At 43.8% G+C, this 16,168-nt stretch overlaps 4 annotated features.

Annotated features, from left to right (window-relative positions):
* Positions 5,705 to 6,904: an enhancer, noted in NCBI's record as "BRD4-independent group 4 enhancer chr2:113551633-113552832 (GRCh37/hg19 assembly coordinates)". NCBI's record gives its function as "activates an origin of replication core promoter dependent on BRD2, P300/CBP, MED14 and CDK7 cofactors, and independent of BRD4, by STARR-seq in HCT116 cells {active_cell/tissue: HCT116}" and the evidence as "EXISTENCE:reporter gene assay evidence [ECO:0000049][PMID:35650434]".
* Positions 7,196 to 7,245: an enhancer, noted in NCBI's record as "active region_16401". NCBI's record gives its function as "activates an Ori minimal core promoter by ATAC-STARR-seq in GM12878 lymphoblastoid cells {active_cell/tissue: GM12878}" and the evidence as "EXISTENCE:reporter gene assay evidence [ECO:0000049][PMID:35858748]".
* Positions 7,276 to 7,365: an enhancer, noted in NCBI's record as "active region_16400". NCBI's record gives its function as "activates an Ori minimal core promoter by ATAC-STARR-seq in GM12878 lymphoblastoid cells {active_cell/tissue: GM12878}" and the evidence as "EXISTENCE:reporter gene assay evidence [ECO:0000049][PMID:35858748]".
* Positions 10,374 to 10,668: an enhancer, noted in NCBI's record as "tiled region #10892; HepG2 Activating DNase matched - State 8:EnhW". NCBI's record gives its function as "activates a minimal TATA promoter and a strong SV40 promoter by Sharpr-MPRA in HepG2 cells {active_cell/tissue: HepG2}" and the evidence as "EXISTENCE:reporter gene assay evidence [ECO:0000049][PMID:27701403]".

The following is a 16,168-nucleotide window of genomic DNA, read 5'->3' as shown; positions in this document are numbered from 1 at the left end:
AAGGCCAAGGTGGGAGGATTGCTTGAGCCCAAAAGTTTGAGACCAGCCTGGGGTAACACAGTAAGACCTCGTCTCTATGAAAAATAAGAAAAGTTAGCTGGGCATGGTGGCATGTGCCTGTGGTCCCAACTACTTGAGAGACTGAGGCAGGAAGATCGCTTGAGCCTCGGAGGTCAAGGCTGCTGTGAGCCATGTTCATGCGACTGTTCTCCAGTCTGGGTGACAGAATGAGACCCTGTCTCACCAGAAAAAAAAAGAAAGAGAGAGAGAGAGAAAGAGAGAAAGAAAAGAAAGAAAGAAAGAAAGAAAGATGGAAGGAAGGAAAGAGAAGAAAGAAAGAAGAAAGAAAGAAAGAAAGAAAGAAAGAAAGAAAGAAAGAAAGAGAAAGAAAGGGAGAGAAAGAAGGAAGGAAGGAAAGAAAGCAAGCAAGCAAGCAGGAAAGGAAGGAAGGAAGGAAGGAAGGAAGGAAGGAAGGAAGGAAGGAAGAAAGAAAAAGAAAGAAAGAAAGAAAGAAAGAAAGAAAGAAAGAGAAAGAAAGAAAAAGGGAGAGGGAAAGGGAAAAGAAAAGGACAAAGAAAAGACCTTTGAACCCTGAATTTCACTTTTAGAGATTCATCTTAAGGAAATTCATTCCAAAGAAATTTATCCCCAGGATTATCTAAATATTTGCTTTTATTTTCTTCTAGTAATTTTATGGTTTAACTTTCTCATGTTTAAGCCTTTAATTTATTTGGAATTTATTTTGGTATGAGAAAGTGTGACCTTTTTTTGTTTTACTTTAAAAAAAATGTATTACGATTATTATTTTAGAGACAGGGTCTTGCTCTGTCACCCAGGCTAGAGTGCAGTGGTGTGATCATAGCTCACTGCAGCCTTGAACTCCTGGCCTCAAGCAATTCTCCCTCGTCAACTTAGGAGTAGCTGGGACCACAGGCATGTACCACCATGCCCAACTAATTTTTTTTATTTTTTGTAGAGACAGAGTCTTGCTTGTTGCCCAGTCTTGCAATGTTGTCTCAAACTCCTGGGCTCAAGTGATCCTGTCGCCCCAGCCTCCCAAAGCACTGGGATTACACGTGTGAGCCACTGCGCCCAGCTGCCTTTTTATTTTTTAATTTTTCAGATGCTTTGTTGGTTCCAAAATAGCACTTATTAACCCACGCTTTCCCCCTCTGGTTTTAAATACTGCAAGTTTGGCTTTGAAATACAACCCACTGCCTTATTCAGGCTACATTCAAGGAAATCTGAGACCAAGAGTCTGAAGGCCCAGTTTCCTTCCTCAAACCCAGGAGGTGGTAAATGTGTCACTTCCACACTTTCTATCTATTTCTAAGAACTCCTTCTTTCCAAACTCTGACATGCCCCTGGCTCAGGTCTATAGAAATTCCCAGGGTCCACAGACAAAGCAGAACTCACTTATGGGGAAATCTGGGAAATACTTATCTGTTAAACCTGCCCCATATGGTGACTCAGATTGTCTAAAGCCCAAAGCATCATTTTCCACCCCAAACCATTTCCTCCTCCAGACTTCTCTATTTCTGTGGTCCAGAGTCAAGATCTTGATATTACCCTAGAGTCCCCCTTCTGCTCTCCTGCATACCCAGATGCCCCTCCCTCCCCAGATCCATTCTCCCACCCTCCCTCCCATCAGTTTGGTGGGCCCATCACCGCTTCCCCTGGCCCAGGCTCTCCTTTTGTGCGCTTGGAGCAGCAGACTGATCTCCCAGCCTTCACTCACTTCATGTGGTAATCTGTTGTGTTCATCACTGTCAGAATCTTCTGCATCCCCTCACTACTCTGCTGAAAACACTCTAGTGGTTCCTCATTGCTCATTAATGAAAGTCTAGATATTAAACGTAGAAGGCCCAGCACAATTTGCCCCTATGCCACCTACCTCTCTAATCTTTTCTCCTTACTCTGACAGACTCTCCGTCTGTCATTTATGTATTCTTTTATTGCTCTCTTCTACTTTTAGTATGAACTGGATTTATGGATTTTTTTAACATTGCTTTCAAGTATGGAATAAAGAATTTTATTTATTTATTTATTTATTTATTTGAGACTGGGTCTCACTCTGTTGCCCAGGCCAGAATGCAATGGTGCAGTCATATCTCACTGTAACCTCGAATTCCTAGGCTCAAGCCATCCTCCTGCCTCAGCCTCCTAAGTAGCTATGACTACGGGTGTGCATCACCACATCTGGCTAATGGAATAAAATATTACAATGCCTAATCTTAATTTTCAAAATTTTAAATTACATTGTACCTAATGCCCATGCATTTACTTTTTTCAGTGGGTCAATAGCCCTCACTTTGGCAAAGGTCCCAGGCCCAAGGTAAGGCCTTACTTTTTCCAAACTCATCTTTTGAAAGACATAAGTGCCTGTAAGTTGTACCACATTAGGTTCTAGGAATTTTTCATCAAAGACTTTATCAGACTATTTTCCTCTAAGTTGAGAAAGAGCTGGGGGCAGAATATGGCACTGAATGACTGAAGAGAAGGCACTGAAATCAGGCCAGAGGTTGCTGGAAAGAGCAATGAGGAACACCAGCAGCAATGAGGAGCCGGTGATGATTTTGGCTTCACAGGGAGGTGTGTACCACACCGATTTTATCTCTACGTGGATGAACCACAGCTGTCGGCTCCCTTGTCTCCAGGACATCACACTCTCCACATTCCCTCCCATCTTCCGGCTTCTGCTTCCCGGGGCCCTCATCTGCCCCATCCTGGGTGAACACTGGTCGGTCAGCTGCTGGGCGTACCTTCCCGCTCTGCACACCCTCCCTGGCCACCCCACCCACTCTCACGGCTCGCACTGCAGAGGAGCCGCATCTCTAGCTCCAGCCCATCTGCCTCTTCTGAGCTCTAACTTCATGTAGGCGACTCCTGCCGGTGTTGCCTCACAGGCCCATCATACTTCAAAGCATTTTCCCCTCAGAACACCGTGTCCTGGCTGCTCCCTCCAGAAGATACATCTCTCAAGCACATCCCCGCGGCTCTCACCTGGATGACTGCATTCACCTTCTCCCACATTTGCCCCCTCCTTTGGATGTATATAGATTGTTTTAAAATACAAATCTGATGTGCTTGCTCTCCTGCTTGAAACACCTCAAAACTGCCTTCAGGATAAACCACTGCCCTTGACATGTTCACAGGTTGCCCATGGCCTGGCCCTGCCCATCTCTTCAGCCTCATCTCATGCCCCTTGCCCCTCGCTCTCTGGGCTTCTGCCTCCCTAGCCCTCCTTTAGGTTCTCTAACACACCATAGTCCTTCTAGTGTTGGGGCCTCTGCAAGTGCTGTTCCCATTGCCTGAGACATGAATCCCTCTCCCTATCTCTACCTGCACCTTCATCTGATTAATCCCTACCCTTCCTACTCATGATGTTGCTTTCTCAGGGACTCTCTCTGACTTTTTAAACTAATCAGGGTCTCCCCAGTATATATCTTCATAGCACTCTGTATTACTCCTTTCTTAATGACCACCTGCTGTAGACTGAATGTTTGTCTTCCTCCAAAATTCATATGTTAAAACCTAGCCCCAAATGTGATAATATTTGGAGGAAGGCTCTTTGGGAGGCAGAGCCCTCATGAATGGGATTAGTAGCCTTATAAAAGAGACCCCTGAGGGCTCCCTTGTCCCCTCCACCGTGTAAGGATGCAACAAGAAAGTATGGTCTATGATCCAAAAAGCAGACCCTTGCCAGGTACCCAATATGCTGGCACTTGAACTTCCCAGCCTCCAGAACTGTGAGAAATAAATTTCTATTTTTCATAAGCCACCGAGTCTATGGTATTTTGTTATAGGAGCACAAACAGACTGATGTGCCACCCAACCATGATTATACGTGTAATTTATGGTTTCTCTGCTAGTAGGGATGCACCATGGGGTTAGGAACCACGCTTTTCTTATTTCCCACACAGTCCTTAGCTCTAAGCATGTTCCTGAATCAAAGATCCCCATCTTTTATGAATGAAGGAGTCAGTGAATGAATTAATGAAAGAACTGATAACCCTCAATAATTATTCCAGCCTTTTATACCTACTATTAACAAGCTTGCATTCTACTCCAAATTTATTGGGCTTTAACTCTATTTTTGGCCAGCCACATTTGACATTCCCTGAAGTAAATCTATGCTTTCCATCCTAAGTCAAGGAAGGACCTGGACTAGTAGGGCCAAGAAAGGTCTAAATTCCATGGGTGGGAGAGAGAGACTAAATCTGAAAGGAAGAATAGATTGAGCAAAGGTGTAGAGATTGGGGAAGGCTGGACATTTGGAGAGAAGGAAAAGGAAACTGACACTAAACCAAACAGTCTCACAAACACAATCTCATCCTTCCAAAACTCTGTGAAGTAAGAATTACTATCCCAGGGCCAGGCACAGTGGCCCACGCCTGTAATCCCAGCACTTTGGGAGGCCAAGGTGGGTGGATCACCTGAAGTCAGGAGTTCAAGACCAACCTGATCAACATGGTGAAACCCCATCTCTACTAAAAATACAAAATTAGCTGGGCATGGTGGTGCACACCTGTAATCCCAGCTACTTGGGAGGCTGAGGCAGGAGAATCATTTGAACCTGGGAGGTAGAGGTTGCAGTGAGCAGAGATCGTGCCACTGCACTCCAGCCTGGGTGACAGGGAGACTCCGTCTCAAAAAAAAAAAAACAAAAAAAAAACCAAAAAAAAAACAAAAAACAAGAATTACTATCCCAGTTTTGCAGATGAGGCAATGGAAGCTCTAAAAAGTTAAGTAGGAGAAACAAACATGAAATGTATGTCTTATGCTTTTCCTCATCCTATTTCCTCAGCCTGGAATGTCCATTCTCCCTCCACTATGCAAATCTAACTCTTCAAGCTAACACATAGCAATGTCTGAGAAACCGTCCCTGTGTTCACTCTGTTAGCCTCACTTGCTCCCTCCCCATCCCTCTGTTTCCTTTCTGTTATAACACTTCTCTATTCTGCTGGCATCACAGTCATCTCCACCTGCCTTCCTCACAAGTTAAAAGCTTGTTAAGGGCAAGTGGTGTTCTTTGCCACCTCATTCCCCAGGGCTTCTAACACAGTGCCTCATGCATGACAGAGTTGTAAAACAGGTTACCAAGCTGGCTTCAGGCAGGTTTGCATGGAACTGTGCTCTACAGGAATACCTGCTCCCCCCAGGCCCTGGGTCTTCCTCCTGAGTCCAGGCTCAGACTCTCTCATCCTGCTCGTTCTCTCTTGGGGAGCCACAGTAACTTTGAGCAACTTTGCATGGGATAGAATGGCCTATTAGGGGCAGCACAAAGACCCCATGGAGGGAAGAGTACAGAAAGGGAAAACGATAATCATATTTTTTTAAGATGTGCATTTTCTTAACAAAATGCTCTAGTACTTGTCCAGACTTTCAAACTCAAAAACCTAAGCGTCCTTTTCTTGAAGATCATCAAAGGCCCCAGTGGTCCTTCAGGTATGTCAAGCTTTCTAGAAAATAAAGCTAAGTCATAATCACTTAACACACATGGCTAAATGGCCATTTCCTTCTAATTTATCAGCAACTGTTACATATTTCTATACTAGAAAAAATTTATATTTATACTCAGGGTGGTAAGTTAAATTTGCCATCGAAGTAAAGCAGAAAGAGCGTAGCATGTATGTATATGTAACTCAACTGTGCATGAGACAAAGATCTATTGAGGAGAATGTGTCTAGCATGGGTCCTGAGCAACCAAACACAATCTATCAAGAGCATAGAGGTGCCATGAAGCAAAACATGGTCATGTTCAGGGTAGTCATGAAATACTGAATGAACAGGGCTGGAAGAACCCCAGTAGTTAGCCAGTCCAATCTCCTCCTTTCATAGATAAGGAAAGCCCAGAGACATGTGGGAATTGCCGGAGGTCACGTAGCTCATTAGGATCAGAGCCAGGATGAGGATCCAAGTCTCTTGCGTCTCCAGCCACATTGTATGCCACACCTGCCACTCCCAGTCTGAGGCCACAATTGCCCTAACCAGGGTCCCTTCCTCCCCTGCAGCCAGGAGTTCACACCAAAAGGAGGAAGGAGAGAACTGTGCACTGGCACAGGACTTCACTGTTGACTATTTGCAATGGATAAAAAGCCTTGTATCAGGTTGAATGCTTATATTTATGTTTATGAAAAATGCTTTGAAAAACTGTAAAGCACCATATAAATGTTAGATTAGTAATATATTTATTACATGATTTGTATCTGGGATATTAACAGTACCAACTTTATTATTGGCCATTTTATTTTCACAGCTAATTTATATTTAATCTGGAATCCAAATTTGGCCAACATGAAAGCATCTGATTAGTTTCTGGGTTTGTCTTATTGGAAAGTTCATCTCCCAGAAGGTAGAGAATATGACAGAGGAATGCTAATCTAGGCATATTTCTGTCCAAGAAGAAAATGATTTGTGAAAGAGGAATTTGAGATAAAGGTTATACTACAGTAACAAATAAATTCCGAAATCTCAGTGACTTAATACATCTAATACAGGTCGTTCTATTCTCATGCATTTGCAACCACACCTAATTCATTTGTAGCACATTCTCTAGAACACGTGACTTCCAAAGTTGCTGCATCAGGGCAAGTTTATGTGACACAGGCATACACTGGCCCTTGATTGCATCAGCCAAGACACGCAACACCTCATCTATCACTTCCTCTCACAGTTCTCTGGCCAGAAAAAAACACATGTCCCCAGTCTAAACTGCAAGGGAGACCAGGAAATTAAGACAGACATTAATCGAGTAATCTCTCAAATGAGCAGGTATTTGGTGAGCACTGCCTACCACATGTATGCTCTCTAGATTTCAGGAAACCAAATATCAAAAAAAGTTTTTAGTGTCCTAATTGTCTAAAAACAAATCTATATATGCCTTGAAAAAAAGAAAGACTGAAAGAAAAGACAATGGAGTCATAACAATGATTATCTCTAGTTATTAAATTGCGGATTTTCTTTTCTTCTTTATATTTTTATATTTCCTCAGCAAAATTTAATGAACATGTTTTAGAATCTGAAAAAAGTAATACAAGCTATTCCTGGAAGTTGAAAAACAAGCTCAGACCAGAGATAACCTTGACTCCACTAAAGAAAATGACTCAAAAGGAAAGGGAATTTCTTAAAAATGCACTTTTGATGAGATAACCAGAATTAGTAAGAAAAGTGAGAGACGGGCACAGACATGACTGCCACACCGGAAGCTCTCTGAGGAACTCTGATTTTTAAAGGGCATCCATGAAGAGGGAAAGAAGGACAGTTCTCCAAAAAAGAAGAAAAAGAGGAAGCAGTCCTGTTCATCACTGTATTAGGCCATACTTGTGTTGCCATAAAGAAATACCTAAGGCTGAGTAATTTACAAGGAGAAGAAGTTTATTTTGGCTTATGGTTTTGCAGGCTATACAAAAAGTATGACACGACCATCTGTGTCTGGTGAGGGCCTCAGGAAGTTTCCAATCATGGCAGAAGGCAAAGAGGGCCAGGCATGTCACATGGTAAGAGCAGGAGCAAGACAGTGAGGGAGGAGGTACCACACACTTCTAAACAACCAGGTCTTGTGAGAACTCAGTCCCTATTGAGAGGACAGCACCGAGCTATTCATGAGGGATCTGTCCCCGTGATCCAAACATTTTCCAGCAGGCCTCACTTCAACACTGGGGATTACATTTCAATGTGAGATTTGGAGGGGGCAAACATCCAAACCATATTATTCCACCCTTGGTCCCCCAAATCTCATGTGCTTCTCATATTGCAAAATAAAATCGTGCCTTCCCAATAATCCCCCCAACTTTTAACTCATTCCAGCCCCAACCCAAAAGTCCCAAAGTCCAAAGTCTCATCTGAAATTCAAGTCAAGTTCCTTCCACCTATGAGGCTGTAAAGTCAAAAACAAATTATTTACTTCCAAGATTCAAAAGTGATACAGTCATTGTGTAAACATTCCCATTCCAGAAGGGAGAAATTGGTCAAAATGTTACCAGAAAGGGGTCCCGATCCAGACCCAAGAGAGGGCTCTGGACCTCGTACAAGAAAGAATTCCAGGCGAGTACATACAGTAAAGTAAAAGCAATTTTATTAAGAAAGTAACGGAATAAAGAATGGCTACTCCATAGGCAGAACAGCAGCTTGGGCTGCTGAACTAAGGATGCTTAATAGTTATTTCTTAATTATATGTTAAACAAGCAGTGGATTATTCACAAGCTTTCTGGGAACGAGGTAGGCACTTCCCAGAGCTGAGGGTTCCTCCCCTTGTTAGTCCATATGGGGTACCTTTTAGACGTTGCTATGCCATCTGTAAACTGTCATGGTGCTGAGACCGGCACAGGCATGACTGTTGGGGTCATGGTGGGAGTGTCTTTTGGCATGCTAATACATTATAATTAGCATATAATGAGCAGTGAGGACAACCAGAGGTCACTCTCATCGCCAGCAGTTCTCACACTGCTGTAAAGAACTGCCCAAGACTGGTAATGTATAAAGAAAACGGGTTTAATTGACTCACAGTTCTGCATAGCTGGGAAGCCTCAGGAAACTTACAATCATGGCAGAAAGGAAAGCAAGTACCTTCTTCATAAAGCTGCAGGAGAGAGTGTGAGCATGTGTGTAGGAGGAACTTCCAAACACTTATAAAACCATTAGATCTTATGAGAACTCACTCAGTATCACCAGAACAGCATGGGGGAAATTGCCTCCATAATCCAATCACCTCCAACCAGGTCCTCCCCTCAACATGTGGGGATTATGGGAATTATAATTTGAGATGAGATTTGGGTGGGGACATAGAGCCAAACCATATCACCATTTTGGCTTTGTGAGTTTTGGCTGGCTTCTTTACTGCAACTTATTTTATCAGCGAGGTCTTCGCTACCTGTATCTTGTGCCGACCTCCTATCTCCTCCTGTGACTTAGAATTCCTAACCTCCTAGGAATGCAGCTCAGTAGGTCTCAGCCTTATTTTACCCAGCCCCTATTCAAGATGGAATTGTTCTGGTTCAAACACCTGTGACCAAAAAAAAAAAAAAAAAAAAAAAAAGCAACAGGTCCCACACAAGCCTGAAATTGACAGGGAAAACATTAAGCCTTAAAGCTGCAACATAATCTTTGATTCCATGTCCTGCAAGCTGGTTCAAGGGGTAGGCTCCCAAGGCCTTAGACAGCCCTGCCTCTGTGGGCTTCCCTGGGAGTAGCCCATGTGGCTGATCTCATGGGTTGGAGTTGAGTGCCTGCAGCTTTTCCAGGCTCAGGGTGCCAGCTGCCAGTGCATCTACCATTCTGGGGTCTGGAGGGCAGCAGCCCCATTCCCACAGTATCACCAGGTAGTGCCCCAGTGGGGACCGTGTGTGAGGACTCCAACCCCACATTTTCCTTTGGCATTGCCCTAGTAGAGGTTCTCTGCAAGGGCTCTGCCCCTGTATCATGCTTCTGCCTGGGAACCTAGGGTTTCTGACACATCCTCTGAAATCTAGGTGGAAGTGCCCAAGCTCCCTCAATCTTGCATTCTGGGCACCTGCAGGCTTAACACCACATGGAAACCACCAAGGCTTATGGCTTGTGCCCTCGGGAGCAGTGGTCCAAGCTCTATCTTGGCCCGTTTGAGCCAAGGCTGGAGCCAGAGCAGAGTGGCCTGGATGCGGGCAGCAGTGTCCCAAAGCTGTGCATAGCAGTGTGGCCCTGGCCTGGCCCATAAAACCTCTGGGCCTAGTGCACCAAACCTCTGCACCTGTGATGGGAGGGGCTGCTTCATAGATCTCTGAAATGCCCTCAAGGCCTTTTTAACATTGTCTTGAATATTAGCACTTGGCTCCCTTTTAGTCATGCTAATCTCTCTAGCAATGATTGCTCTGCAGCCTACTTGGATTCTTTCTCTGCCACAAGGCCAGGCTGCAAATTTTCCAAATTTTTAGACTCTACTTCCATTTTAAACATAGGTTCCAACTTTAAGTCATTTCTTTACCCCTGAGCACAGGCTGTTAGAAGCAGACAGGCCATATCCTGGCTTAGAAATTTCTAAGCAGGCCAGGCGGGGTGGCTCATGCTTGTAACCCCAGCATTTTGGGAGGCCAAGGCGGGTGGATCACGAGGTCAGAAGATTGAGACCATCTTGGCTAACATGGTGAAACCTCGTCTCTACTAAAATACTAAAAAATTAGCCAGGTATGGTGGCAGGCGCCTGTAGTCCCAGCTACTTGGGAGGCTGAGGCAGGAGAATGGCATGAACCCAGGAGACAGAGCTTGAAGTGAGCCAAGATTGCGCCACTGCGCTCCAGCCTGGGCGACACAGCAAAACTCCAGCTCAAAAAAAAAAAAAAAAGAAAGAAAGAAATTTCTAAGCAACACACTTTGTTGCTTAGAGGTTTCTTCCACTAGATACCCTACCGTAAGTCATCACTCTTACATTCAAACTTCCACAGATCCCCAGGACATGAACACAATGCACCCAATTTCTTTGCTGAGTCATAGCAAGGGTGACCTTTGCCCAGTTCCCAACAAATTCCCCATTTCCATCTGAGACTTTGTCACCCTGGACTTCATTGTCCGTATCACTATCAGCATTTTGGTCACAACCATTTAGCCAGTCTCTAAGAAGTTCCAAACTTTCCCTCATCTTCTTGTTTTCTTCTGAGCCCTTTAAATTCTTCCAATCTTTGCCCATTACCCAGTTCCAAAGTTGACTCCACATTTTTAGATATCTTTATAGCTATATGCCCCATTCTTCAGTACCAGTTTTCTGTATTAAGCCATTCTTTTTTTTTTCTTTTTTTCTTTTTTTTGAGACGGAGTCTCACTCTGTCGCCCAGGCTGGAGTGCAGTGGTGCAATCTCGGCTCACTGCAAGCTCCGCTTCCCGGGTTCATGCCATTCTCCTGCCTCAGCCTCCAGAGTAGCTGGGACTACAGGCGCCCACCACCACGCCCGACTAATTTTTTGTATTTTTAGTAGAGATGGAGTTTCACCGTGTTAGCCGGTGGTCTCAATCTCCTGACCTCATGTTCCACCCCCCTCAGCCTCCCACAGTGCTGGGATTACAGGCGTGAGCCACCATGCCCAGCCTGTATTAAGCCACTCTTATGTTGCTATAAAGAAATATCTGAGGCTGGGTAATTTATATGGAAATGAAGTTTATTTTGGCTCACAGTTCTGCAGGCTGTACAAGCATGGCACCCACATCTGCTCAGCTTTTGGCGAAGCCTTAGGAAACTTTCAATCATGGCAGAGAGCGAAGGGGAGCAGGGATGTCACATGTCGAAAGCAGTAACAAGAGAGCAATGGGGGAGTGCCACACACTTTTAAACAACCATATCTCAGGAGAACTCATTCACTATTGAGAGGACAGTACCAAGCTATTCATGAGGGATCTGCCCCCATGATCCAAACACCTCCCACCAGGCCCTACCTCCAACACTGGGGATTACATTTCAACATGAGATTTGGAGGGAACAAATACCCAGACTACATCAATCACCCATCTCCAGAGAAAAGGAAAAGGGAATTTAGAAACAAAAAAAAAAAGCACATCCATCAGAGAACAGATGAGCTAAGGTGAAGAGGTAATTGTAGCTAAATAGAAATTTGCTGACTGAACGTGAAGCTGTCCCTTCCTGCTATGGACTTCAGATTTTAGCCCACTTGAATTGCTCCATATCCTCCAAGCCATGGCCATCCCTTGACTCTCTGGGCTCCCAAGCACTTGCTGCCTTCATCACACAGTTTGAGTTAAGGCAGAAAGACTGGTTTCCATGTACACTTTGTGGAAGCTTTCTCATTTCTTTATATAATCTCTGTCCTTTGTCTACTGCTTTAAAATCTAGAAATTGTTTACAAACACAAAGGTGATCCTTTAAAAGCTCAAAGCTGATTGTGTCACCAATATATACCACTCTTAATGGCTTCCCATTAAACTTTGAGTAAAGACTTTATGGAGCCTACATAAGGCCATGACTACCTGGCTCTTATTTTCCTCCTCATCCTCATCTCACCAACTCACTCTCCACTCCTATACCCCTCACTCCTTCCCCCTCCTCTCTCTGAGCTCCAGACTCCCAATTACCTACTTCCACCCTTTTTGACCCCCAGGGACTTATCTCAGCCTGGAATTTTCCCTCTTTGCTCTCCACTGAACTGTCCACTCCCAGTCTAAGACATGTGCTTATGTCACACGCCCTTACCGTGCTTATCTCAGTTTGTAATTATCTACTCATTTAGAAAAGTGTTGATGAAGGTCTTCACTGTCAGCTTTCAGGATAGCAGGAATCATAGCTGATTTTACTTACTTAACGGGGTTTCATTCTTTGTAACTTTTTTTTTTTTTGAGATGGAGACTCACTCTTGCCCAGGCTGGAGTGCAATGGCATGATCTCGGCTCACTGCAACCTCCACCTCCTGGGTTCAAGTGATTCTCCTGCTTCAGCCTCCCGAGTAGCTGGGATTACAGATGCCTGTCACCACGCCCAGCTAATTTTTTGTATTTTTTGTAAAGACGGGGTTTCATCATGTTGGCCAGGCTGGTCTCGATCTCCTGACCTCAGGCGATCCACCCACCTCAGCCTCCCAAAGTGCTGTGATTACAGGCATGAGCCACGGCACCCAGCCACTCCTTTTTTACTTATGGGTGAGAAGCCATTAGAGATTATTTCTTCTTTTCTTTCTCTCTTCACTAAGGCACCAGGGTCACTAAGTAGTAGGATACTTTGAACTAGAACTCAAGAAATTGAGTTTTAATTTTACCTCACACTCTCATATGAATTCTCCATGTGACCTCGGGCCATACTTCCCCTGTACCCTGTTTCCTCTTTTATAAAAGTAAGAGTTTAAACTAGATGGTCTCCGACATGCATCCTTCTCTAACATATTCTGGAACCTTCAATAAACTAAGATAAAGCAGAATAATTAAAACTTAATTTAAAAGAACACAGGAAAGGAAGCAGCTACATTAAGCAAAAGAGACATCCTCATGGTTGAAGAAGTGTATGCCCTGGTGTCTGGATCCCATTTAGGAAACTTGGTAACCTTGCAATCTTGGGCAGATTGCTTAATTTCTCTAGACCATGACTTCCTCTTCTGTAAGATGTGATAAGAACATCTACCTCACAGGTTTCATGAGAGGATTAAATGAGATAATGTATTATAATCCCTTGAACATGGTAGGCTGTTATGTTAAGTCCTTTCCTCCTTCTCTGTAGCTATCATGGAATTTAAAAACACATTATAACTAGAGCATGAGTTGCGACTAAAGGCTCAATTGTCTCTGCATGTGTTGGCTCATGCATGCTTTATTCCTCTGAAGAGCTTTTATACCAAGTGAAAGGAAATAATTGCATTTCCCTGAAAATTCACAGGAAAAAGTTATGTTTTTCTCTTCATTCAAGTGATTCTGTTAGACCCAACCACATGCAACAATTTTAAAGTTGCTTCCAAATATATTTACAAATATTTCCTGTCTTCAAGGAACAATGGCAAGACCATGACTCAGGTTCACATCCGGATTCCACCACTAACCATGTACCCAATTACTTCAGTCACCTTCATTCAGGTCTTACATATCACAGAATAAAATCAGATTTCATCAGAGGAGGTGAAGACAGGGAGAGGAGATATTTCAATCCCTTCTCCGCAACCCCCGTTTTTTTTTTTTTTTTAACAAGGATCCTAGAGTTACTGAATGATAGCACGTTTGAGGGGGAAAGACCCTAAGGATGATCTTTATAAGCCATCACTTGGTGTTGGTGGTGATAAGAGACTCGAGTATCTTTATGCAGTGGAAAGAGAAGATTGGACTCGGAATCAGAAGCTTGAGTTCAAGCACTGGTTTCATCAGTCTTGTGATCTTGGGTTGGTCACTTAACCTCTTCAAGGGTCCTCAGCTGTGAAAGAGGATAGTATCAGCTAATTCTTGTAGGTGCAGTGAGGAGGCAGTGAGATAGTGCAGGTAAACTATAAAACAATTGTCACATGAAACGCATCACAGTGATTCTTTGGACCCACAAGCTCCAATCTTATAAAACATATCCAGTCACCCACCAACATAGATCATCTCACCTTGCATATCTGATTTTGTGGATCATGGGGAAAAACTGCTGATTCCTAGCAAAACCCATGGCATAGGATAAGTGCACAATAATTTTTTTTTCCTAAATGATTTAGATGACAGTGACTCATTAAGGGTTTCCTGAGGCCTCCTCAGAGTCGAGAGGTGGGTGCCTGAAGCCACCCAAAGTCCCTGTCACAGGATGGCTCCCAACGCACACACCACAGGCCTGCCCAGTATGTTCCACTATCTACCCAGTAGAGCCCTGCCCAGTACGTTCCACTGTCCCTTCCCTAGAAGAGGTGACTGTTGTTCACAGTCCCAGAAAAGCGGGCTCCCCAAAACAATGCAAGGACCCACCTCTCTCTGAACCTCACCCACCCTAGTTTTCCTTTAAAAATCAATTTACAAGAAGATCATGTGAAGGAAAAGGTTGGGTGATATTCTAACCCAAGTTAGCTGTTTCTCAACCAAGTTCTCTTTGAAAAATTCAACAACCACCTTTGGGGAATTATTTACAACAGAGGAGTGAGGATGGGACCAGGATAGGTATTGCCTATGTTGGTGGAACCAGGGTTTTTTTCCTGGATTACCAAAGAGATGGTATGCATTGCTCCCAGAAGCTAAATATCTTCAGGCTTTCAATGGTGGCCTTCACCTGAAAATGTTATCCCTGTTGAAGCTTTCAAGCCAGTATTTTCATAAGAACTATATTTTCTTTGGTGAACTGAGGCATTATAATGATGACTATACAGGTTCTTGAGTGACTGAAGCCATCATTAGCATTGTCATTATTTTTGTTTAGTTGCATCTCCATAGCAGCTCACATTCACAATGTGCTTTGCAATTGTTCCTTAGCAATAGCCCTCACAAGATTCTCAGGAGGAGAGGGTTAATCAGGATTAACATTTCTGTGTTGCCTAAAGAGGAACCAAGGTAAGCAGAAATGTAGCCAGTTGGCTGGCATCACTGTTGCTTCAGGATTCATCCTTAGACACCCAAGCTTCTACCCTAGTCTGGTGCTACACTTACATTGCTTACATCCAAGTGTGGTTATTTCTGTGGCTCCTGTTATAACTATTATAGCACCAGGTCTATGACCAGGAGAATTAGACTGGCATTAAATCAGAATAAGAGATTTTGCACCTGCAATAGACCTTATGACACCTAACCAACCCCATTATTTACAATTAAACAGGAACAGAGGGAATACTTTATCCAACTCACACAAGCTGCTTTCCTCCCAGATCCATGCTTTTTTGCGTTTATTATTTTTTAGAGATGGGGGCTTCACTATGTTGCCCACACTGGACTAAAACTCTGGGCCTCAAGTGATTGTCCTGCCTCAGCCTCCTGAATAGCTGGGACTACAGGGGCATGCCATCACACCTAGTTCATTTCCTCTATTTAAAATATACATGGCTTAAACTCCAACTGGGAACCCAAAACATTCATTTGCTAAGAGTCTGGTGTTCTACCACCTGAACTAGGCTGGCCACAGGAATTATAAAAGCTGAGAAATTCTTTAATAATAGTAACCAGGCAACACCATTGAAGGCTCATATGTAAAAATCCATGCCTTCCTTTCTCCCAATCTCCATTCCCAAACTTAGCCACTGGCTTCTGGCTGAGGCCTTACGCATACCTCCCGGGGCTTGCACACACCTTCTTCTACAGAAGACACACCTTGGGCATATCCTACAGAAGACCAGGCTTCTCTCTGGTCCTTGGTAGAGGGCTACTTTACTGTAACAGGGCCAGGGTGGAGAGTTCTCTCCTGAAGCTCCATCCCCTCTATAGGAAATGTGTTGACAATATTCAGAAGAGTAAGAGGATCAAGACTTCTTTGTGCTCAAATACCACTGTTCTCTTCTCTACCCTGCCCTAACCAGGAGCTTGTCACCCCAAACTCTGAGGTGATTTATGCCTTAATCAAGCAAACTTCCCTCTTCAGAAAAGATGGCTCATTTTCCCTCAAAAGTTGCCAGGAGCTGCCAAGTATTCTGCCAATTCACCCTGGAGCACAATCAACAAATTCAGCCAGAACACAACTACAGCTACTATTAGAACTATTATTATTAATAAATTCCTCTCCAAATCTAGCCCCTTGACTTCGGATTTCACGATTTCTCCCTTCCTC

Source organism: Homo sapiens, chromosome 2 (genome assembly GCF_000001405.40).
Source record: "Homo sapiens chromosome 2, GRCh38.p14 Primary Assembly".
Lineage (NCBI taxonomy): Eukaryota > Metazoa > Chordata > Mammalia > Primates > Hominidae > Homo > Homo sapiens.
Note: the sequence above shows the minus strand (reverse complement) of the source record. Positions and strands in the feature narration are given on the sequence as shown.